Consider the following 17,275-nt stretch of genomic DNA (forward strand, 5'->3'; position numbering starts at 1 on the left):
ACAAACAGTTGACAAGCCCTTGCCTAGACACTGAGCCCACCAAAAACACAAGGGCCTGGAGCCAGGAGACAAGGCTAACAAGTTCTCCAAGGACAGCTGAGTGGTTCCCCTCTGGGCCAAGCCCATTCCTTCAAGAAAACAGGGCTGCTGCAGGTTCTCTAGCTACCTCTGCAGCACAGGCTGGGTGAGGAGGGGCAGGGACCCAGCCCAGAGCATGAGGAGAAGGCCACCCTGCCCCACCTCCACCACTGCCACACTCCGCAGCTCCGTGAGCTTGCCACGACGGGAAGATCTGAATTCTAACTCACCGCATGACCTCAAACCAGACAGTCCTCCTTCCTGTGCCCCAGGTTTCTCATCTAATAATCCTAACAGCCGCTATAATAAGAGTTAACAGCTCTCAAGCACTTATGATGTGCCAGCCTCTGCTCTCAGCACTGCTTACGCATTGATTTATTTAGGCCTCACCAGAAACCTGTTGCAGACAGAGCTGCTAGCGCCTAGCCCAGTGCACTGCTGAGGGGACTTGCCCAGAGATACTCAGCTGGTAAGTGGCTGAGCCAGGGCTTGAACCCTCACAGCCGGGCCCTGCCTGCCATCACACTATGCTGCCTCCACAGAGAAATAAGGATTGGACGGAATCACCTAAGACTCTCTGGCTCTGTCGTGGCTGCCTCCTATGATCCTCAGCCCAGAAATCCAGCCTCCCAGTTTCTCCGAAAGGATGGCAGACCTGATTTGGGGTGGGCCTCTCCCACAGCCCTTCTACTTCCCTCCACGCCTGCAGAGACCTCCCAATGTCCAGTTCAGTGCCCACAGTGTGCCAGGTGCTGGGAGGTGGCAGAGAACAGGGCAGCCCCCGCCCTGTATTGAGGATCTGCTTCCGCCATCTCCTGGCTGCCCACCGAGGTCCCCTGCTCACGAAGGCACTGGCACCAGCCCCCCATCCCTGCCTCTCACCTCCCGTCCTGTACCGGTGCACCTCGAGGTCCCCTCCCAGGTAGAGTGCCTGCAACCCTCACTCAGGTCTATTCCAGGGGACCCACCTGTGATAGTGCTTTCCACCGTCATCTCCCTTCATGCCACCCCTATAGCAGCCCTTCCCAGTAGGAATTATCACCCGCCACTCGGGGTGAGGACCTGGGGACTAGAGAGAAGTTGCCATCCTCAGCTGCCAGCAGCTGACTGAAGCCTAGGCCCATCAATGCCAAAGATCGAAACCCTTCCTTGCTGCTGCCTGGCCTCCCTCCTCCCCTGCCAGCAAGAGCCACCAGCACATCTGGGTCCTGTCCAGACAATGAGGGGACAGGCAGGAGATGCCCGCTGGCTCCCCCTGTCCAGGTTCGATGTGTCCAATTGCCAGCAACTGGTGATCTGAGCTGACCCACTCTGAGAGGGAAGCCCCTCGTTGATCTTAGCCCCTCCCACCCTGTCCCACCCACCCAGGCCCCTGCCCCAGAATCTTCATAAAAGGTGGAAGGTTGACAAAGCTCTGCCACCACCAACCCAGGCCTCAGTGGGTCCCTGCAGGGGCTGCCTCTGGAGCAGAGCCTGCAGAGGGGCCACCCACCCCAGTCAGCAGGCACGGCCAGGCCTCCCGGGCACCAGCAGACAATGGGCATCTGCAGAGTACATTCAAAGGGAGGCCCAAAGCCCTGCCCAGTCCTCCAAGGCCTCCACAATGCCTGCTGCCCAGTCTCAAAAGCCGATTTCTGTTCAAACCCACCCATGTCACCTGGAAGGAGGCCTTTAACCATAGACTCTTAGCTGTGGAGGGCAGGATTACCCTCTACGGTGTCCCTGACTGTGGCCTCTGGCTTCTGCTTGCCTGCCTCCTGCAACAGGCAGCTCACCACTTCACACGGTAGTCAATTCCAGCACCTGCGGCTGCCAGGCTTTCAGGATACTGAGCTGAAATCTGCCTCCCTGTCACTGTCATGTGGTTCCAAGTTCTCTGGAGCCATGGAGACTCTGACTGTGCCCTCAGCTGGAAGGACCTCCAAGGCTCTTTGACTCTCTGCTCCATGTACACCACCCCCCAGCAGCCTGCTGCCCTTCCCTTGGTGGTCTAGGTCCACACATGTGCACACAGACACACGGGGGACACAGGTCACATGTTCAGGCACAACCGCCACTTAAACCATGGTGTCCCTTGGGAGGCTGAAGCGGGCAGATTCCTTGAGCCCAGGAGTTCAAGACCAGCCTGGGCAATACAGCAAGACTGTCTCTACAAAAAATTTAAAATTAGCCAGGCATGGCGGTGCACAACTATAGTTCCAGCTACTCGGGAAGCTGAGGTACGAGGATCGCTTGAGCCCGGGAGGTCGAGGCTGCAGTGAGCCATGGTTGCGCTACTGCACTATAGCCTGGGTGAAAGAGCAAGACCCTGTCTCAAAAACAACACCCACCAAAAAAAAAAAAAAAAAAAACCCCACATGGTGTCCCAAGCCCTCCCCACGTTGAAGGAAAGCCGTGGCCCTGTGTCAGCTCCCCTGCCTCACTTACCTCTGCACTTACCAGCCCCCCTCCCCCACCCGACCTGGCCACACTGGCCTCCACCGAGCACCCTAAGCATGGCCAGCCTCACAGCCTTTGCATGTGCAGTGCCCTCTGCCAACTGGGCTTTTCCGCAGAATATCCTCCTTCACACCATCCACATCTCTGATTGAATGTCATCTTCTCAGAGAGGTTGTTGCTGAATATCTCAGCCACAGCAGCCCTGCTCCCTACCCCCTTACCATACCCCTTCTCATCCCCACCTTACATGACATGTCTCTCCAGGAGCGTGTGTCTGCCTCAGCCTCCCCGCTGTGCCGGGGTGCTGGGCTGGTAGCACCTGCAGCCCGTGAGTCCCCAGGGCATCAGAGATCAAAGTGGTGCCCCTCCCTGGCCCAGGCTGCAGGCCATCTGTCTTGCCTGGCAGCTCTCCTCTGCCCAGCCTTCCTCCAGCTCAGGCCTGGAGGTGAGGAGATAGCAGGAAGTTCCCCCCAGGGCAGGCTGGGAGTATGGACAGTAAGAGCCCACAAGGAACAGCCTCTCTCCAGGGGAACGCTGTGCCCCACAGACTGCAAGGAGCCAAGCGGAGACAGGGCTCCCCATGGGCACCCTCAGGCTGCCAAGGCTTGGGGGCAGCTCCAGACAATCCGTCTCATGCATTTGGATATCAGCTGACAGCAGCAGGGGCCAGGGAGGAGGAGACACACACAGGCCACATACACACACACACACACACACACACACACACACACACACACGCCAGGATCCAACCCTTCCAGGAGCTGGTGGAGGCATGCTGTCAGACAGGCAAGAACACTTCAGGCACATGGGTGCACTGAGCATCCCTAGACACCCCCACCCCACACACATTCAAGAGCAGCAGCTCACACAGGTGTGCCCACACACATATGAGGAGCCACTCCTTGAGTCCCACACATACTTTCCTGGACTCACACTCACAGGCCTCTTGGTGGTAAGTACAACCAACCGTGCACACACACACACACACACACACAAACACACACACATAGAGTCAGCACTGGTGGAGGCAGCATTAACAGTGTATTTTGGGGAGCACAAGAGAGTGTTCATAACCCACCCCTGATCTTGCCATCCTGCCCAGCTGCCCATCAAGCAGCTGGAACTCTTAACTGCCCATGGTAGGCAAGAGAGTGCTGTCCCCCATCCACACCCCGGCAGGGGACAGCTTTCTGCAGGGCTGGATCCTGCCCATGGGAGAACCAGCCTGGCAGGGGCAAAGCTCAAGGTGGGCAAGAGCTGATGGGCTGGGTGGGGGTCAGAATGGGCAGCAGCCAGGTGGCAGTGGGGATGGAGGAGGATTAAGGTCGCTGGGCACTGGCACCAGCTTGGGGATGCCCAGAGGCTGCCCCCCGGGACACCATGGGCTGATGTTGGCAGCATTGCCCCTCTCCTCAGTCACCAGCCTGCCCAGGAATTGGCACTGCTTGGGGGAGTGTGGCCAGACCAGACGCACCCCCACCTGTTCCATTTCCTGATTGTCCAGATCTTATTGAGGTTTCTCAATAAGAAAAGGAGACTTGCCTGGAGATTCTGAAATGGGGAGGTCTCCTCACTCACCCCAAGTTGCACCTAAATAAACGTAGTGGAAGGGGGGGACATGATCACTCCTGGAAAGCCCTGCTTCAGCCCAGGGAGGAGAAAGCAGTGCCTGTAATTTGTTTTAATAATCCTGCTGAACTGGGAGAAAATTAACAAATGAGAAACCAGATTGAAATTAATCAAACTTCTCCCTGTCCATCCCCCCACCTTCCATCTTAATGAAGGTTATTTATCCAACGAGCGATAAAACACGGAATTAAATTAAATAGCCCCTTTCTTTTCCTCCTCTCCCCCGCCCCAGGGAGGCAGCATCTCCCTGCTTACAGCTCTATAAGCCATGCTGGGCTGGCGGCCATGGCAGACCCATGATTCCTGGACACCAATCAGAGGGGTTTCCCAGAAGGAGCCCCTCAATTAGTGCATTCCCTGTTTGGGTCTCACTGCCAGCTCTCTGCCAAAAATATGAAAGGCAGTTAACTCAACCACCCTCCTGAGGTGGGAGAGAGGGAGGTCCCTGTTGTTGGGTCTTATCTGATGCAGCTGGGGGGACTCACCAGTTTCTCTGTGGGGGAGAGAAGGGCCTGAGTGTGGAAGGTGGGGAGTGTGAGCTTCCCCCCAAATGAGGACACTTTAGTGCCCATGGCAGGTTCCAGCTGGAAACCCTATCCTGGCCCCAACTTCTTGGTGGGAAGGGGTTGGAGGCGGCAGGGGAAGCTCAGGAAAAACCTCTAGTGAAAACAGGACTCAGCCCCCCGCCCTATCCCCTGCCTGGCTCCCTCCCTTGCCTGGGGCTCAGGGCATGAAACACCAAGAATGCGAGTGGCACAGATGCCCTCACTGCACCTCTCGGCCAGGGATGCTCCCATACCCCTAACTTCCTCTGTCAGTTTGCTAGGCATCTGCTTCCCCGAACTTCTCTTCCCTGCAGCTTTGAATCCACTTATGTTTTCGCCAGGGCCATCTTTTGGAGTCACAGGTTGCTAAACAACTGCTCTCAGGGTCTGTCCTTAACCATTCCCTTTGGTCATTCCCTCTGGGTTTGAAAATTGCAATAATAATGACCTTCCATTTACAGCTTTTACATACATTCTCTGTTTTCCCTCCTTCCTTCCTCCCTTCCCTTTCTTCTTTCCCTTCCTTCCTTCCTCCTTCCCTTCCCTTCCCTCCCTCCCTTCCTTCCTTTCTTTTCATTTCTTTCTATTTTAGAGATGTTGCCCAGGCTGGAGTACAACAGTGCAATGACAGCTCACTACAGCCTCAAACGCCTGAGTTCAAGCGATGCTCCCACCTCGGCCTCCTGATAAGCTGGGACCACAGGTGCTCACCACCACACCTGGCTAATTTTTAAATTTTTTGCAGAGATGGGGTCTCACTATGTTGCCCAGGCTGGTCTCGAACTCCTGGGCTCAAGTGATTCTCCCACCTCGGGATTACAGGCCTGAGCCACCATGCCTGGCCACGTTCTCCCATTTAAACCTAACGTCTACCCAGGTAGGGAGATATTTGTTGAAATGCCCACTTTATAAGGAAAACAGATGCGGGTCCTTGTGCAGGGTTTATCTAGCAGTAGCTGGAGGTCCCAGCTTGGTTGGGCTGAGCTTTGAGGATTGGGGTGGGACTCGGAGGGAGGATGGGGCTCTGCAGAACTGCCCAGCCCTCTGGAAGTCTCCTCAGGGGCTTTCTGTGGAGCAGAGCTGAGGCTGACGACTCTCTGGGAGGAGTGAGAGGAGAAGGGAGGAAGGAGTGGGGGAGCAGGGTGCAGCTGAAGGCTCTGACAGTGCTGCAAATCTGGTCCTCACATGGCAGCCAGGGAGCACTTTTTAAAACGTAAGTCTAATTATGTCACTCTGCTTAAAACTCTCCAAGGCTATCTACTGCACCTGGAGTAAAAGTTCTCCTCTGTCTCAGAGCCCACAGGCCCTGCTGACCCAACCCTGCCACACCTTCCCCTCCCCTCTGAGCAACCCCCTTGCTCCTCAGATGGGCCAAAAATGTTCCTGCTTCAGGGTCTTTGCACTGGCTGTGCCTGCCACCCAAAACACCACCCAGCCACCTGGCTGCCTTCCTCACTCACCTGGGTCTGTGTTCCAAAGTCCCCTCCCCAGGTCTTCCCTGACTGCCTTGTGTACAAGAGCCCTTCCCCTCCTTCACAACTCTCTAGCCCCTGGCCCTGGGCAGGTCCCCTCCACAGCACCTGTCCCCACTCATGTAAGTGATTACATCATGTCTCCTGTCTTTCTTCCCACTCCAGAAGGTCAGCTCCATGTGGGCAAGGACGGTATGCATTTGGCTCACTCTGCTGCATTCTCAGCCCAACCCAACATCTGCTACTAAAAGATGCTCACCAGCTATTTGGTGGATATATGAACCAATGGATGTCACTATGCATAAGGCCATCATCCGGGCCACCATCACCTCCAGGCTGAATTGTTCTATCCATCTCCTCATCACTCTCTCAGCTTCAGGCCTTGCCCTGCAACCAACCCTCCAGTCCACACCCAAAGGAATACTTTTAACTCCCAAATCCAAGCAGGCACCATCCTGCAGGATCAAGTCCACCTTCTTGACCTAAGCCCCCCAATTTCCTCCAGCCCCTCTCCACTCACCCTCTGCCCAACCCTCCTGCATGCCACATCCCTGTCACAGACAAGCCCAAGGTCCCACCGGTGCCCACCCTCTACCCTGAGGACACTGCCCGGCTCCACCTCTGACAAAGGCTGCCCCATGCACGCCTTGTCAGAACTGCCCTCGCCCTCCTCTGAGCCCCTAGACCCTCACCTGTACCCCCTCACAGCCCTCCCATACCCCAGTTTGAGCTGTGGCAAATCACATGCCCATCACACCTCCCCATCCAGGAAGGACCCAGATTTATTCACTCGGCAATCCTGCCCATCCCCACCACCTGCTCCAGTATCTTGCACAAACTTGGAGCTCCATACATGTTTGCTGAATCAAATGGAATCCATTCAAAACACAGCCCAGGAAGCATGTCCATTAAGAGAAGCCTTTCCTCCAGGTTGCCAGCATCTCAGGCTGGTCTGAGGACAAACGGACCTTTAAGTGCCACTAATCACTGCATCCAGGAGCAGCTGTCCCCAGATGCTGCTAACCTCTCCTCAGGGGTTGCCTGGGTGCAAAGAGGTTCACCAGGGTTGAGAGGTGGTCAGGGCCCTGCCTAAACGCCAACACGCTGCCTCTGGGCCAGCCACCAGCCAGAACAGCAGCTCCTGGCCCACTCCACAGCTTGCATGTGTGCGTGCGTGCGTGTATGCGTGTGTGTGTGTGTGCATGCGTGTGGCCACCCCCGTGGGTGAGGACAGCAGGCACAACACAGCCACTGCTGAATTATTTATTCCCTACATTGTTAGCGCAGTAGAGAGAGCAACCGTGTCTCCAGGCTTCAATTAAAATATCACGGCACCCGCACCGTCTGCCCGGCCACATGCCCAACTCCCACCAAAACTGGCAGGAGCGCACCCCCTGGGAAGCATAACCACCCCCAAGCCCAAATTGCTGCCCCTTCCCCTGCTCCCAGCCACAAGGTCCTGGTTCAGGACCTTGGACAGCAGCCTCCAGGGGTCTGCCCGAAGACACTCGGCAAACCTTTCAGGCCTCTAAAAGACCATTTAGTAAATCGATGCTCTGAAAGAGCCTTTCTAGCTTCCCAAAGGGGCCCTGGGACAAGCCTTGCTGGGTTTTGGGCCCAACTCCAATCCTCTGTCTGCTCCCAGCCCTCCCTAAATAACTGTGCAGCGCGAGGCTGGAGGAGGAGTTCGAGGTTCTCACCCCAGCTCTTCAGGCTCCAGGAGAAACTGCGGACACATCACACCTCCCTGGGCTCCATTTGTTATCACTCAGAGAATGCAAATGACAGTGGCCAGACTGTGACCTCCATGGACGGTCAATCAATGGAAAGGGACTTTGAAAAGGTAAAAATGAGGTACCGATGTTGGCCGCACCAGAAGAGGGCTTTAATTACATACAAGTGGGTTTTCTGCGGCCTCGCCACCCCTATCCAACCTGGAAATCCCTGATTCTGGGGCACAGACTCAGAATGAAGAAAAAGCTGACAGATCCTTCAGGAGTTGGCTGGGTCACAAACTAACTGGGTCACCCACAAGATTTAATTCAACAACCCCCGGACTAGAATATGAGGCCGAGTGAAATCAAAGTGGGCGAGCTGAAAAAGAGCAAGAAATTCCAAACACATGCCGCCTAGAACTGCAGAATGAGCACCGGCTTCAGGGACAGGCAGCGCTGCAGGCCTCCCTCCACTGCTTTCTGAGCAAGCCTCAGTTTCCTCTCCTGTAAAATGGGGCCGGTGATACTGACTTCCTAGCTGGCGACTCACACAAGATAACCTGTGTAAAACACCTAGCACACACCAGGCACATAAATCCAACCATTCATTTTATTAAGCACCTACTATGTTCCAGGCACTGGAGACCAGAGCAGGGAAGAAGAGAGACACAACCTTGCCTGGTAGAGCTGACACCCCAGTGACCAGGGTTATTCTCTTCAGGACAGCAGAAGAGGGGGCATTGGAGATGGGCCTCAAAACAAATGTGGAATTACCAAAGCAAAGAAAGGTGGCAAGAAGGTACAGTCTCTTTGGGAAAATGATTGGCAGCACCTCCTAAAGCTAATCATTCATGCAACCTATGAGCCAACAATTCCACTTAATATATATATATGAGAAACGAGCGTTTACATCCACTAAAAGACACGTACACAAATGTTAAGAGTGGCTCTATTCATAATAGCCAAACACTGGATTCAGCCCAAATGTCCAGTGGCAGCAGAAAGGGTAAATAAATGATGAATTACCCAAACAATGATACAATGAAAGAGTACAGAGCAATAGAAGTGAGCAAACCACCAACAGACCCAACCCCAGGGGGTTCTCACAGACAATGTGAGCAAAAGAAGCTGGACATAAAAACCTTGCTGCACGATTCTGTTACGTGAGGCTCAAAACCAGGCAACACCAGTCTACACAGTTAGAAATCAGGCTATTGATTATCCTTGGGGAGGAAAGGATATTAACTAGGAGGGGCTCAAGGGAGCTTTCCAGGGCACTGAGAATGTTCTCTATCGGATACCGGCAAATGCATTTATAAAAGTTCAACAAGTCATACACCTGAAATTTGTGTATCTTACAGTGTATAAGTTGTACCTCCATTTTAAAGAAAAATGTAAAGGAATGAAAAGGCAGACAGAGCATTCTTCGGGGCAGGTGGACCATCAGAAGCAGAGGCCTGGCAGATGGGAAGCTGGGGGGATTTAGAGACTGGCCTCGGGGGAAATGGAACTGAAAATGGCAGGGCCGGAGGGAGGGAACAAAGATGAGGTGGGCGAGACAGGCTGGGCCAGCCCAAAAGGGCTTCCAAGGCCATGCCAACCTGAGAGCCTCAGGGGTATCTGCCTCCTTCTCCCAGGCCCCCCTGCCACAAACCCCACCTGTCCATGGTGAAGTATACTTGTGAGGTCATCCCTCCCTGCCAGCCTGGCTCCCTGCCCACCCACTACCTCAGCTGCCACACTGGATTTAAATCCCTGAGTTGAATTTCCGGGGTTTAGGGGGCTTTCATCCTGAGCAAGCATGAAGTGAAGCCATAGTCCCTGGCTCCCATGCCTGCAGTTCATCCGGCACGTCTCTCCAGGGCCCTGAGTATCACCTGGGACACCTGGCTGCCTCCTACACTCCACCTGCCACATCCACCTCCTCACCTGCCCCCATGGGGAGCTCACCTGAGCACCTGTCTTTCCCATGATAACCGCTCCAATTAGGAAGGGCCTCCCACCTCCTGCTCCTCACCACCCAGCACCCAAGGCTGCACTGTCGCATCTCCTCATGGAGAGAGGCCACTGGAAATACATAGATGCAGCCAGGTAAGCAGCCCCAAGATCTCACATCCAACCAGCCACCAGCGAGACATAGTATATGAAAGATGCGAGGGCCCCTTGGGTGATGACCTAGCCATTGAATGCCAGGCTTCAAAGACTAATCAAGGATATTGGAACATGCTCACCACTGTAGTCTAGTGGACAAAAGCTGGCTACAGAACCATATAGATGCTGTGATCTCAATTTGGTAAATTACACAGAAAAAGGGCTGGAAGGAAATACACACATGTATCAAGGTTGCCATCCTGGATAGCAGAATGAATGAGCAATTTCAAATTGCTTCTTTATGCTTTGCTGTTTTCTTCCAAATCTGTGACAAACATGCTGGCTTTTATAGCCACCATAACAGGAAGGGGCTAAGGGACATCGAGCCACACTCACACAGGGACCCATGGCTGCCTGTTCCGTGCTTAATGGGATAGAGCAAGGGCTGACCTGATTCCAGCCTGCAAAGCACCCATAGGCTCCTGCACTAAGAGCTGCTGGACTAGGAGGACACACTCATGACTTCCAGGTGTGGGCAGGGGCAGGGCACTGTGCTGGGGGGCTGGGACCCTGATTCGAAGCCCAGCTCTGATTCTAACTGGCTGAGGTGGCCCCCCACACATTAACTTCTCTGGGCCTCAGTTTCCTCATCTGTAAAAAAGCCGTCCTGACCGCGTTGTAGGACTCTTGTGTGGAATGATCAAGAAGTGACTGTGAAAGCCTGTAAATTGTGAGCTATTAGGATTTATCCCTGAGTTCCCTATTACTGTTCTCCACCAGGCCCTCTGTCCCATTGCAGTTTCTAAGAAATGCCCAGAAGCCGCCTACAGCAGGCATCTGAGAGTCCTGAAAACTGTGGGCCATCCTCACATGCTAATTCCCAAGGTGCACATAAAATATGCATTTTTTAATTGAACTGGAAAGCAAACAAAAGCAAAGGAAAAACCCACCTCCTGGTTCAACAGCAAAATTGAGGGCCTGTCACACATCTTCAGTAAACATTTACCAAATGAATACAACTGTACAAACTGGAACCAAACCCACTAACTTAATCTCTCATGAAGATTAAAATGTTCATGGTTGAATCAGGTACTCGCTGCTAACTTCCAGTAGGTTCTCTGCCTCATTTCTTTTAGGAGCAGAGATTTGTTTTCCTATATTGACAACTCTCTGTTAAAACAAATAAAAATATGTGATTCATCCCTCTAGATTCCGTGGAGATCCACAAAAGAAACAGATGATGAGGCCGGGCACAGTGGATCACGCCTGTAATCCCAGCACTTTAGGAGGCCAAGGCGGGTGGATCATTTGAGGTCAGGAGTTCAAGACCAACCTGGTCAACATGGTGAAACCCCATCTCTACTAAAAATACAAAAATTAGCCAGGCATGGTGGCGGGCGCCTGTAATCCCAGTTACTCGGGAGGCTAAGGCAGGAGGATTGCTTGAAACCAGGAGGCGAAGGTTGCAGTGAGCTGAGATCGCACCACTGCACTCCAGCCTGGGCGACAGAGAGAGACTCCATGAAAGAAAGAAAGAGAGAGAGGGAGTGAGTGAGGAAGTCCCTGACCTGCTACATGAGGCCAGGTCGGGATCAGCCACAGGGCCTCCTTCTGGGCATGTCCTGCAGAGGTGGAGGTGTCACAGGGCACCACGGCACCAGCCCTGCCCCTCTCTGGCAGGAGGGCAATGCGGCCACGTACAGGGAAATTGCAAACACACCTGCCCTTTGACCAAGCCCTCTGTGGGGAGGAGTCTGTCCTGCAGAGACGTGCAAAGTGGCCCATGCAGAGACTTCCACCGCAGTTCTGTCGGAGCCTAGATTGGAAACCACCTAATGTCCATCATGAGGAGACCAGAAGCAGGGGCACTACGCAGCCACACAAAGTAAAAGGTCCTTATGCACTGACGAAGCATGTCCCTGGAAATGCTGCCAGGTGACCCAGCAGGTGCTGCAGCTTTGGTGGGGCGTAGAGGGGGCAGAATGCGGGAGCCATATATATGCATTTAATCCCCTTCCTACCCCAGGCCTGCGGTGAGGATATCCAGAGAACCCAGCCTCTGGAGGCAACACGCACCCCAGCCCGTACGCAGGCCTGAGTTTCTCTGGAAGGGTGCGCAGGGAATAATGGCTGCCTCCAGGGCCAGGCTGGGGTTGGGGTGTGTCTCTTGGTACCTTGAAGACCGAACCATGGGAATGTATGATGCATTCAAACAGTAATACCGTAACTTAGAAGAATGACCAAAGATTTTGCATCTGTGGGGTTGAAGGGTAAGCCAGGCCTGGGGAACCCAGTCTCCTCCAAGGCCACTGAATAAAGGCTCATTCAGGAGAGAGAGAAACCCATCTTTGAAGGAGACCCTCAGGCACCCCTCTCCAGCATGCACACTCTTTCCCTCCACGAGGCCTCAGCACAGGGCCTGGGGCTCCCTGGCCCAGGGCTGGGAGGTGAGGGAGGAAGTCCTGGCCCAGGCTGATCAGCCAGGTCCTGTGGGGGTGAGGGAGGCAAGGAAGGCAGGTGAGGGCTCCTGGCTTCCCCTTCTTTCCCCCTGTTGGGTTTGTTGTACTTTCCTAATTGATTTTGTGTCTGTGTCCCTGGGATACTTAGGACCATCTTAGAAAACCACTTAAGGAATTTAAAATAATCAAAGTACTTACAAGGCACTTAACATTTCCTCGCACTTCAGGCTTCTCAAAAACCTCCTTCCAGCAGCAACCAGAGACCTGGCTGTCAGGAGCTACCAATTCGGGCAGGAAGACACCTTTGTCAGGTCCCCAGCTCCTGCCACATCACCCCCTAAGCCCCAGCAGCCTCCCAGGAGCAGGATAGCCAACCTCCACACACGAGCACATCATGCCCTCTCTCAGGGCGCGCCACAACACCTGGCCAAATTTTTCTGTATTTTTAATAGAGACAGGGTTTCATTGTGTTAGCCAGGGTGGTCTCGATCTCCTGACCTTGTGATCCGCCCACCTCGGCCTCCCAAAGTGCTTGGATTACAGGCATGAGCCACTGCGCCCAGCCTGCAAAGTTTTCTTTCTTAAACAATTTTGAAACTGTTACTGGAAGATATCAATATGTGGCCAGGTCTTGGGTACAGGCTAATTCATTATATTATCCTCTATAATTTTCCATATGTTTTAAATCATTTATTAAGATACGTGCACACCTTGGTGAAAGAGAGTAAGCCCTTCATGACGGACCCACATTGAACATGCCACTCATTTTCAATAAAGTAAAAGGCGGCGTGGTGAGAGCTGCACACACTCCACTTCCTGCTGAAGTCTCCTCTCAGAACAGTCCTGACCCCGGAAACCACTCACCCTCACACACCGCCCCCCAGTCCTAAGCCTCAGACTCCTTCCCTGGCTAGGGTCTCCCAGCTGGAATTCATTCCCTGGGATTAAGGGTTGTTCTCTTCCAGCTGCTCTGCTGTGGGGACCTCACTGGACTCCCTGACAGCTTCCAGAGCCTGAGCTGGGAAGGAGAGAGAAGACTGCACTGAACATAAACACCACCCTCTCCAGGGCCCTGACAGAGGTTAATGCTGCCCATCCTCCCCTCGGCCACAACCCCAGGGACAGAGAACGTGGCAAGTGCTACCTCTGTCCGCTCCCATTAGGGCTCCCATTAGGGCCCCGCTCTACCCAGCCAGAGCTCCCCCTCCAGGAGATTTCAACTCTGATAGTTTTCAATCCCTCTTCGCCCTGGAGGTGGCTGGAGACCAGGAGCAGGCAGCACCTTCGAGGCAGATCCCCGCTCAGGGCACCTCTGCTGGGCCAGGGCCAGGGCTGAGCAGAGCATCCCTCCTCCTGGGGCACCACCTCTTAGCAAACCCCAGGGAGAAACTGAGGCCTGGAGACAACTGAGGTCCAGGAATGAAGGAATGGGAGGAGGGACAGGAAGGAGAATCCAGCCTTCTCCTCACACATGGGCCCACTTTACAACACCTCCTGTTTCCTGAGGGCCTGCGATGTGCCAGGCACTGAGCTAATCACCTTGTGCTGTTCCACCCTACCCACAGGCAAGGAGAGCAGGGCCCTGAGCAGTGCCAAGACTTGTGGTGGGATTGAGGGGCACCCTGAGTCGGAGGGAGGGGTCTGGGTGGGGCGGGTGCCCACCAGGAAGTGCTCAGTACTGAGATGCCCGAGGCCGTAATCAAGGTATGAGGCAGGCGGGCAAGCAGGTGGGCAGCCAAGTAGGAGAGAGGCTGGGATGTGTCCCACAGGGAACAGGTGGGCTTGACAGCCGTTCTGCCTCCAGCCCTTAACCACAGGCCACCAAGGCTGAGGCTGTCCCACACCACCCAAACAGAGAGGGAGCCCCAACACTCTCTCTCTGTGCTTGGGTGGTGTGGGACAACAAGGCGTCCAACAGGCACCAGGGGGAAGAAAGAGATGGGGTGGAGGACATGAGAGGGGAACAGAAAGCCACAGTCAGACAGAAGGAGGCAGGAAGCTGGGGATAGACAGACAGGGAAAGAGGGGACAAAACTGTGTTCCGGCTCCCCTCCCCGCAACAGCGCTGCGGGCCACCACTCTCCACACGGAACCAAGCATAGAGGCCGGCCCTGCCTCTCCTCACTGCCCCCAGCCCAGGCCTCGAGTGAGTGGCAAGCATAAAGGTCAATTGGAATATAAAGCAGAATTTGCTTTCCTTTCATTTCCAACATGTCTGGGTCATAAAAATGCTAGTTTAGAAAGTCGGGAGAAAAATGAAGGCACATGGTTCATTCAGCGGTGGGCGGGGGGTGGGGGGGGCAGCTAACCCTGCAGACTAAGGGGGGTCCACCCCTGCTGCGGGCACCATCCTGTTCCTCAGTTCCACACCAAGGCCCCGGGCTGGCGGCTTCCCCGGTTTGTCTGTCTGTCTGTCTGTCTGTCTGTCTGTCTCTGGGCCAGGCACTGGAAGTAGGGGGGGAAGACCAAGAGCGGTTCAGCCCAATCCTGCCCTCAAGAAACTCAGAACTGTGGGGAGAGACACGATTCCCGCAAGAGCCCCCACATTCCCTGGGAAGGTCAGTTAAGTCCTGCTGGATTCGAGTCAGTATGACTGCCCACAAGGCAGCAAGAAGGGCATTCCAGAAGGACACGGCCCGAGCAGGGCCAGGAGGCAGGCCGTGGAAGGCACAGAGCATGACGGGGTGAGGGGGAGCAGGGTCACCTCAGAGCCTCAAAGCCTGCCTAATCCTGTGCTCTCAGTTACAGAGAGGGCGGCCACGTTACCCAAGGTCACACAGCGAGTTGGCAGCAGAGGCAGGCCCCAAAAGCAGGACCTGGGCCACAGGTTGCTTCACTGGCAAGGGGAGACCCTCAGCCCTGCCTTGCATAGAGAGCCAGAGATCACCCCAGCGCCCGCAGCAGGGCCACCCAACAGTGTGAAGGGCCAGAGGACCCCAGGTCAGTAAGTCCCCATGCAAGGAGGCTCTGGCACACCTACCAGAGTCATCCTGTGGCTCAATGCAGTGATGTGCCCCTCCCCATCACCATGCTCCGTGACTCAGGCCACACCCCTCGAACGCCCCTTAGATGCTCCTTCGGCAGGAGATGAGGACAAACATGACCGGGCCCTGTGTGAGCCCGCCACACTACCAGCTCCCACTGCAATTTTCACCTGCACCTGGAAAGGTGCACGTGATTCTGCCCATTTCCCAGCTGAGATGAGCGAGGTCCAGGAGGGTCAGACTTCTGGAGCCAGGATCTGCACCAACTGCCACATGCCGCCTCCAGAGCTGGTACTTTGTTCCACACTCCACGGTCTACACGCCAGGCACTGCCCTGGCCCTTGCTGTGCACGCATTTCATCCTCACAGCACCTATGAAGTGGGTGCTGCAGGCATCCCCATTTTACACACAAGGAAACGGGGGCACAGAGAGGCTTTCCCAGGCAACAAATGGCAGAGCAGGGGTATGAACCCAGGCCAGCTGGCCCCAGGGTCCATGCGGCAGCCACCACATTACTGCCCCTCGGGGATCCCCATCTGGCTGGCCCTTCCTCTCTCTGGTCTCCAGCACCCAACTCTGTCCATCCTCAGGCTGGGGGCTGGGGGGAGTAACGGGGTGGGGTCCGAAGAGGCCCAGGAAGGCCCGAGTGTGCAAAAGTCATCAGGGTGGGAGCCCAGGGGAAGAATGAGCCTCTCACAGGGAGCTCTCACCTCCGTGGCTTCACAAGGGCTGCTCAGGGACCATCTGCCCACTTTATAGGTGAGGAAACAGGGGTCCCAAGAGACCTGGTGACTTGTCCTCCCACGACACCCTCTGCCAGCAAGAAGATCAGGAGGGGTTTGAAGGCCTTCTCCCTGATCCCCGGACTGTCTCGGACCCACATCTCAAGGTCCCCGCTCAGATCAACTGCCAAGCAGAGTCCTGTCCCCGGGGTCTCTGCACGTGTTACTGCCTCTGCCTAGAACACTCTTACAGCCACAGGGCGGCCCCTCCACTCCGTTCAGGTTCTGCACAAAAGTCCGCTCTGAACAAGGCCCCCCCACCAACCCTGCCTAGACTGACATTCCCTCCCATGCGGCTCTCCAGCCACTCCTTGCTTTGTGATTCTGCAGGACACTGCTCCCCTGACGATGCGCACTACATGCTTTGTCTTCCCACTGCCTGCCGTCTCCCTCCAGTGTGGAAGCCCACCAGGGCAGGGCTCACCCGAGTGCTTCCTGCGTGATAAAGTTCACTTCGAGGGGTGGTTCTCCACCTGGAATGCACCTGTCATCACTCGGGCAGCCCAGGCCCAATTTCAATTAAATCTGAATTCCTGAGGTGGGCCGGGGTATGAGGCTTCTCTAAACTCCCCAAGTGATTCCAATGTGCAGCTGAGACGGACCGCTGCTCTAGCAGTGCCGGGCATGGAGATGGCCAGTAGGTTCAGTAAATGAACAAATAAATGCATGACTCTTTACAGATGGACAAAGTGAGTTCCAGATGGGAGACAGAAAGCCAGAAGCCAGCACTCATGAACTTGAGGACCCCCCCCTAGACTCAGCCTTCACCTCAGCCCTTCCATAATGCCATGCATCACATCCAGAGGCCCCATCAGCTCCTACCTGGGCTCCAGGAGCCTCTCTAGGAGGTCTTCCCAGAGGCCCCCAAAGGCCTCCACACTTACTTTTTTTTTTCTGAGACATAGTCTCGCTCTGTCGCCCAGGCTGGAGTGCGGTGGCGCTATCTCTGCTCACTGCAAGCTCCGCCTCCCGGGTTCACGCCATTCTCCTGCCTCAGCCTCCTGAGTAGTTGGGACTACAGGTGCCCGCCACCACACCCAGCTAATTTTTTGTATTTTTAGTAGAGATAGGGTTTCACCG

The 17,275-nt window shown here is 55.0% G+C and overlaps 1 protein-coding gene across 5 annotated transcripts in view, besides 2 other annotated features; it reads right to left on the reverse strand.

Moving 5' to 3' along the window:
• The window catches only part of GRM4 (glutamate metabotropic receptor 4), a 136,980-nt gene that overhangs the window by 89,258 nt on the left and 30,447 nt on the right, over positions 1–17,275 (reverse strand). Inside the window, exon 1 of one of the 5 annotated variants that reach the window (NM_001256812.2) lies at positions 2,760–2,863. The exons of the other annotated variants lie outside the window; for them this stretch is intronic. Within the exon in view, the coding sequence (NP_001243741.1) occupies positions 2,760–2,771 (12 nt within the window). The 5' untranslated portion in view covers positions 2,772–2,863. Of the gene's footprint in view, positions 1–2,759; positions 2,864–17,275 lie in introns of those variants that run through there. 5 annotated transcript variants of the gene reach the window in all.
• Positions 7,539–7,739: a silencer, noted in NCBI's record as "peak5759 fragment used in MPRA reporter construct". NCBI's record gives its function as "represses an SCP1 promoter by STARR-seq MPRAs in K562 erythroleukemia cells {active_cell/tissue: K562}" and the evidence as "EXISTENCE:reporter gene assay evidence [ECO:0000049][PMID:32103011]".
• Positions 12,301–13,089: an enhancer, noted in NCBI's record as "H3K27ac-H3K4me1 hESC enhancer chr6:34087978-34088766 (GRCh37/hg19 assembly coordinates)". NCBI's record gives its function as "activates a minimal SCP1, AML or CMV promoter by ChIP-STARR-seq in naive H9 embryonic stem cells {active_cell/tissue: H9 hESC(naive)}" and the evidence as "EXISTENCE:reporter gene assay evidence [ECO:0000049][PMID:30033119]".

The sequence above is a fragment of the Homo sapiens genome, chromosome 6 (assembly GCF_000001405.40).
Source record: "Homo sapiens chromosome 6, GRCh38.p14 Primary Assembly".
In the NCBI taxonomy this organism is placed as follows: domain Eukaryota; kingdom Metazoa; phylum Chordata; class Mammalia; order Primates; family Hominidae; genus Homo; species Homo sapiens.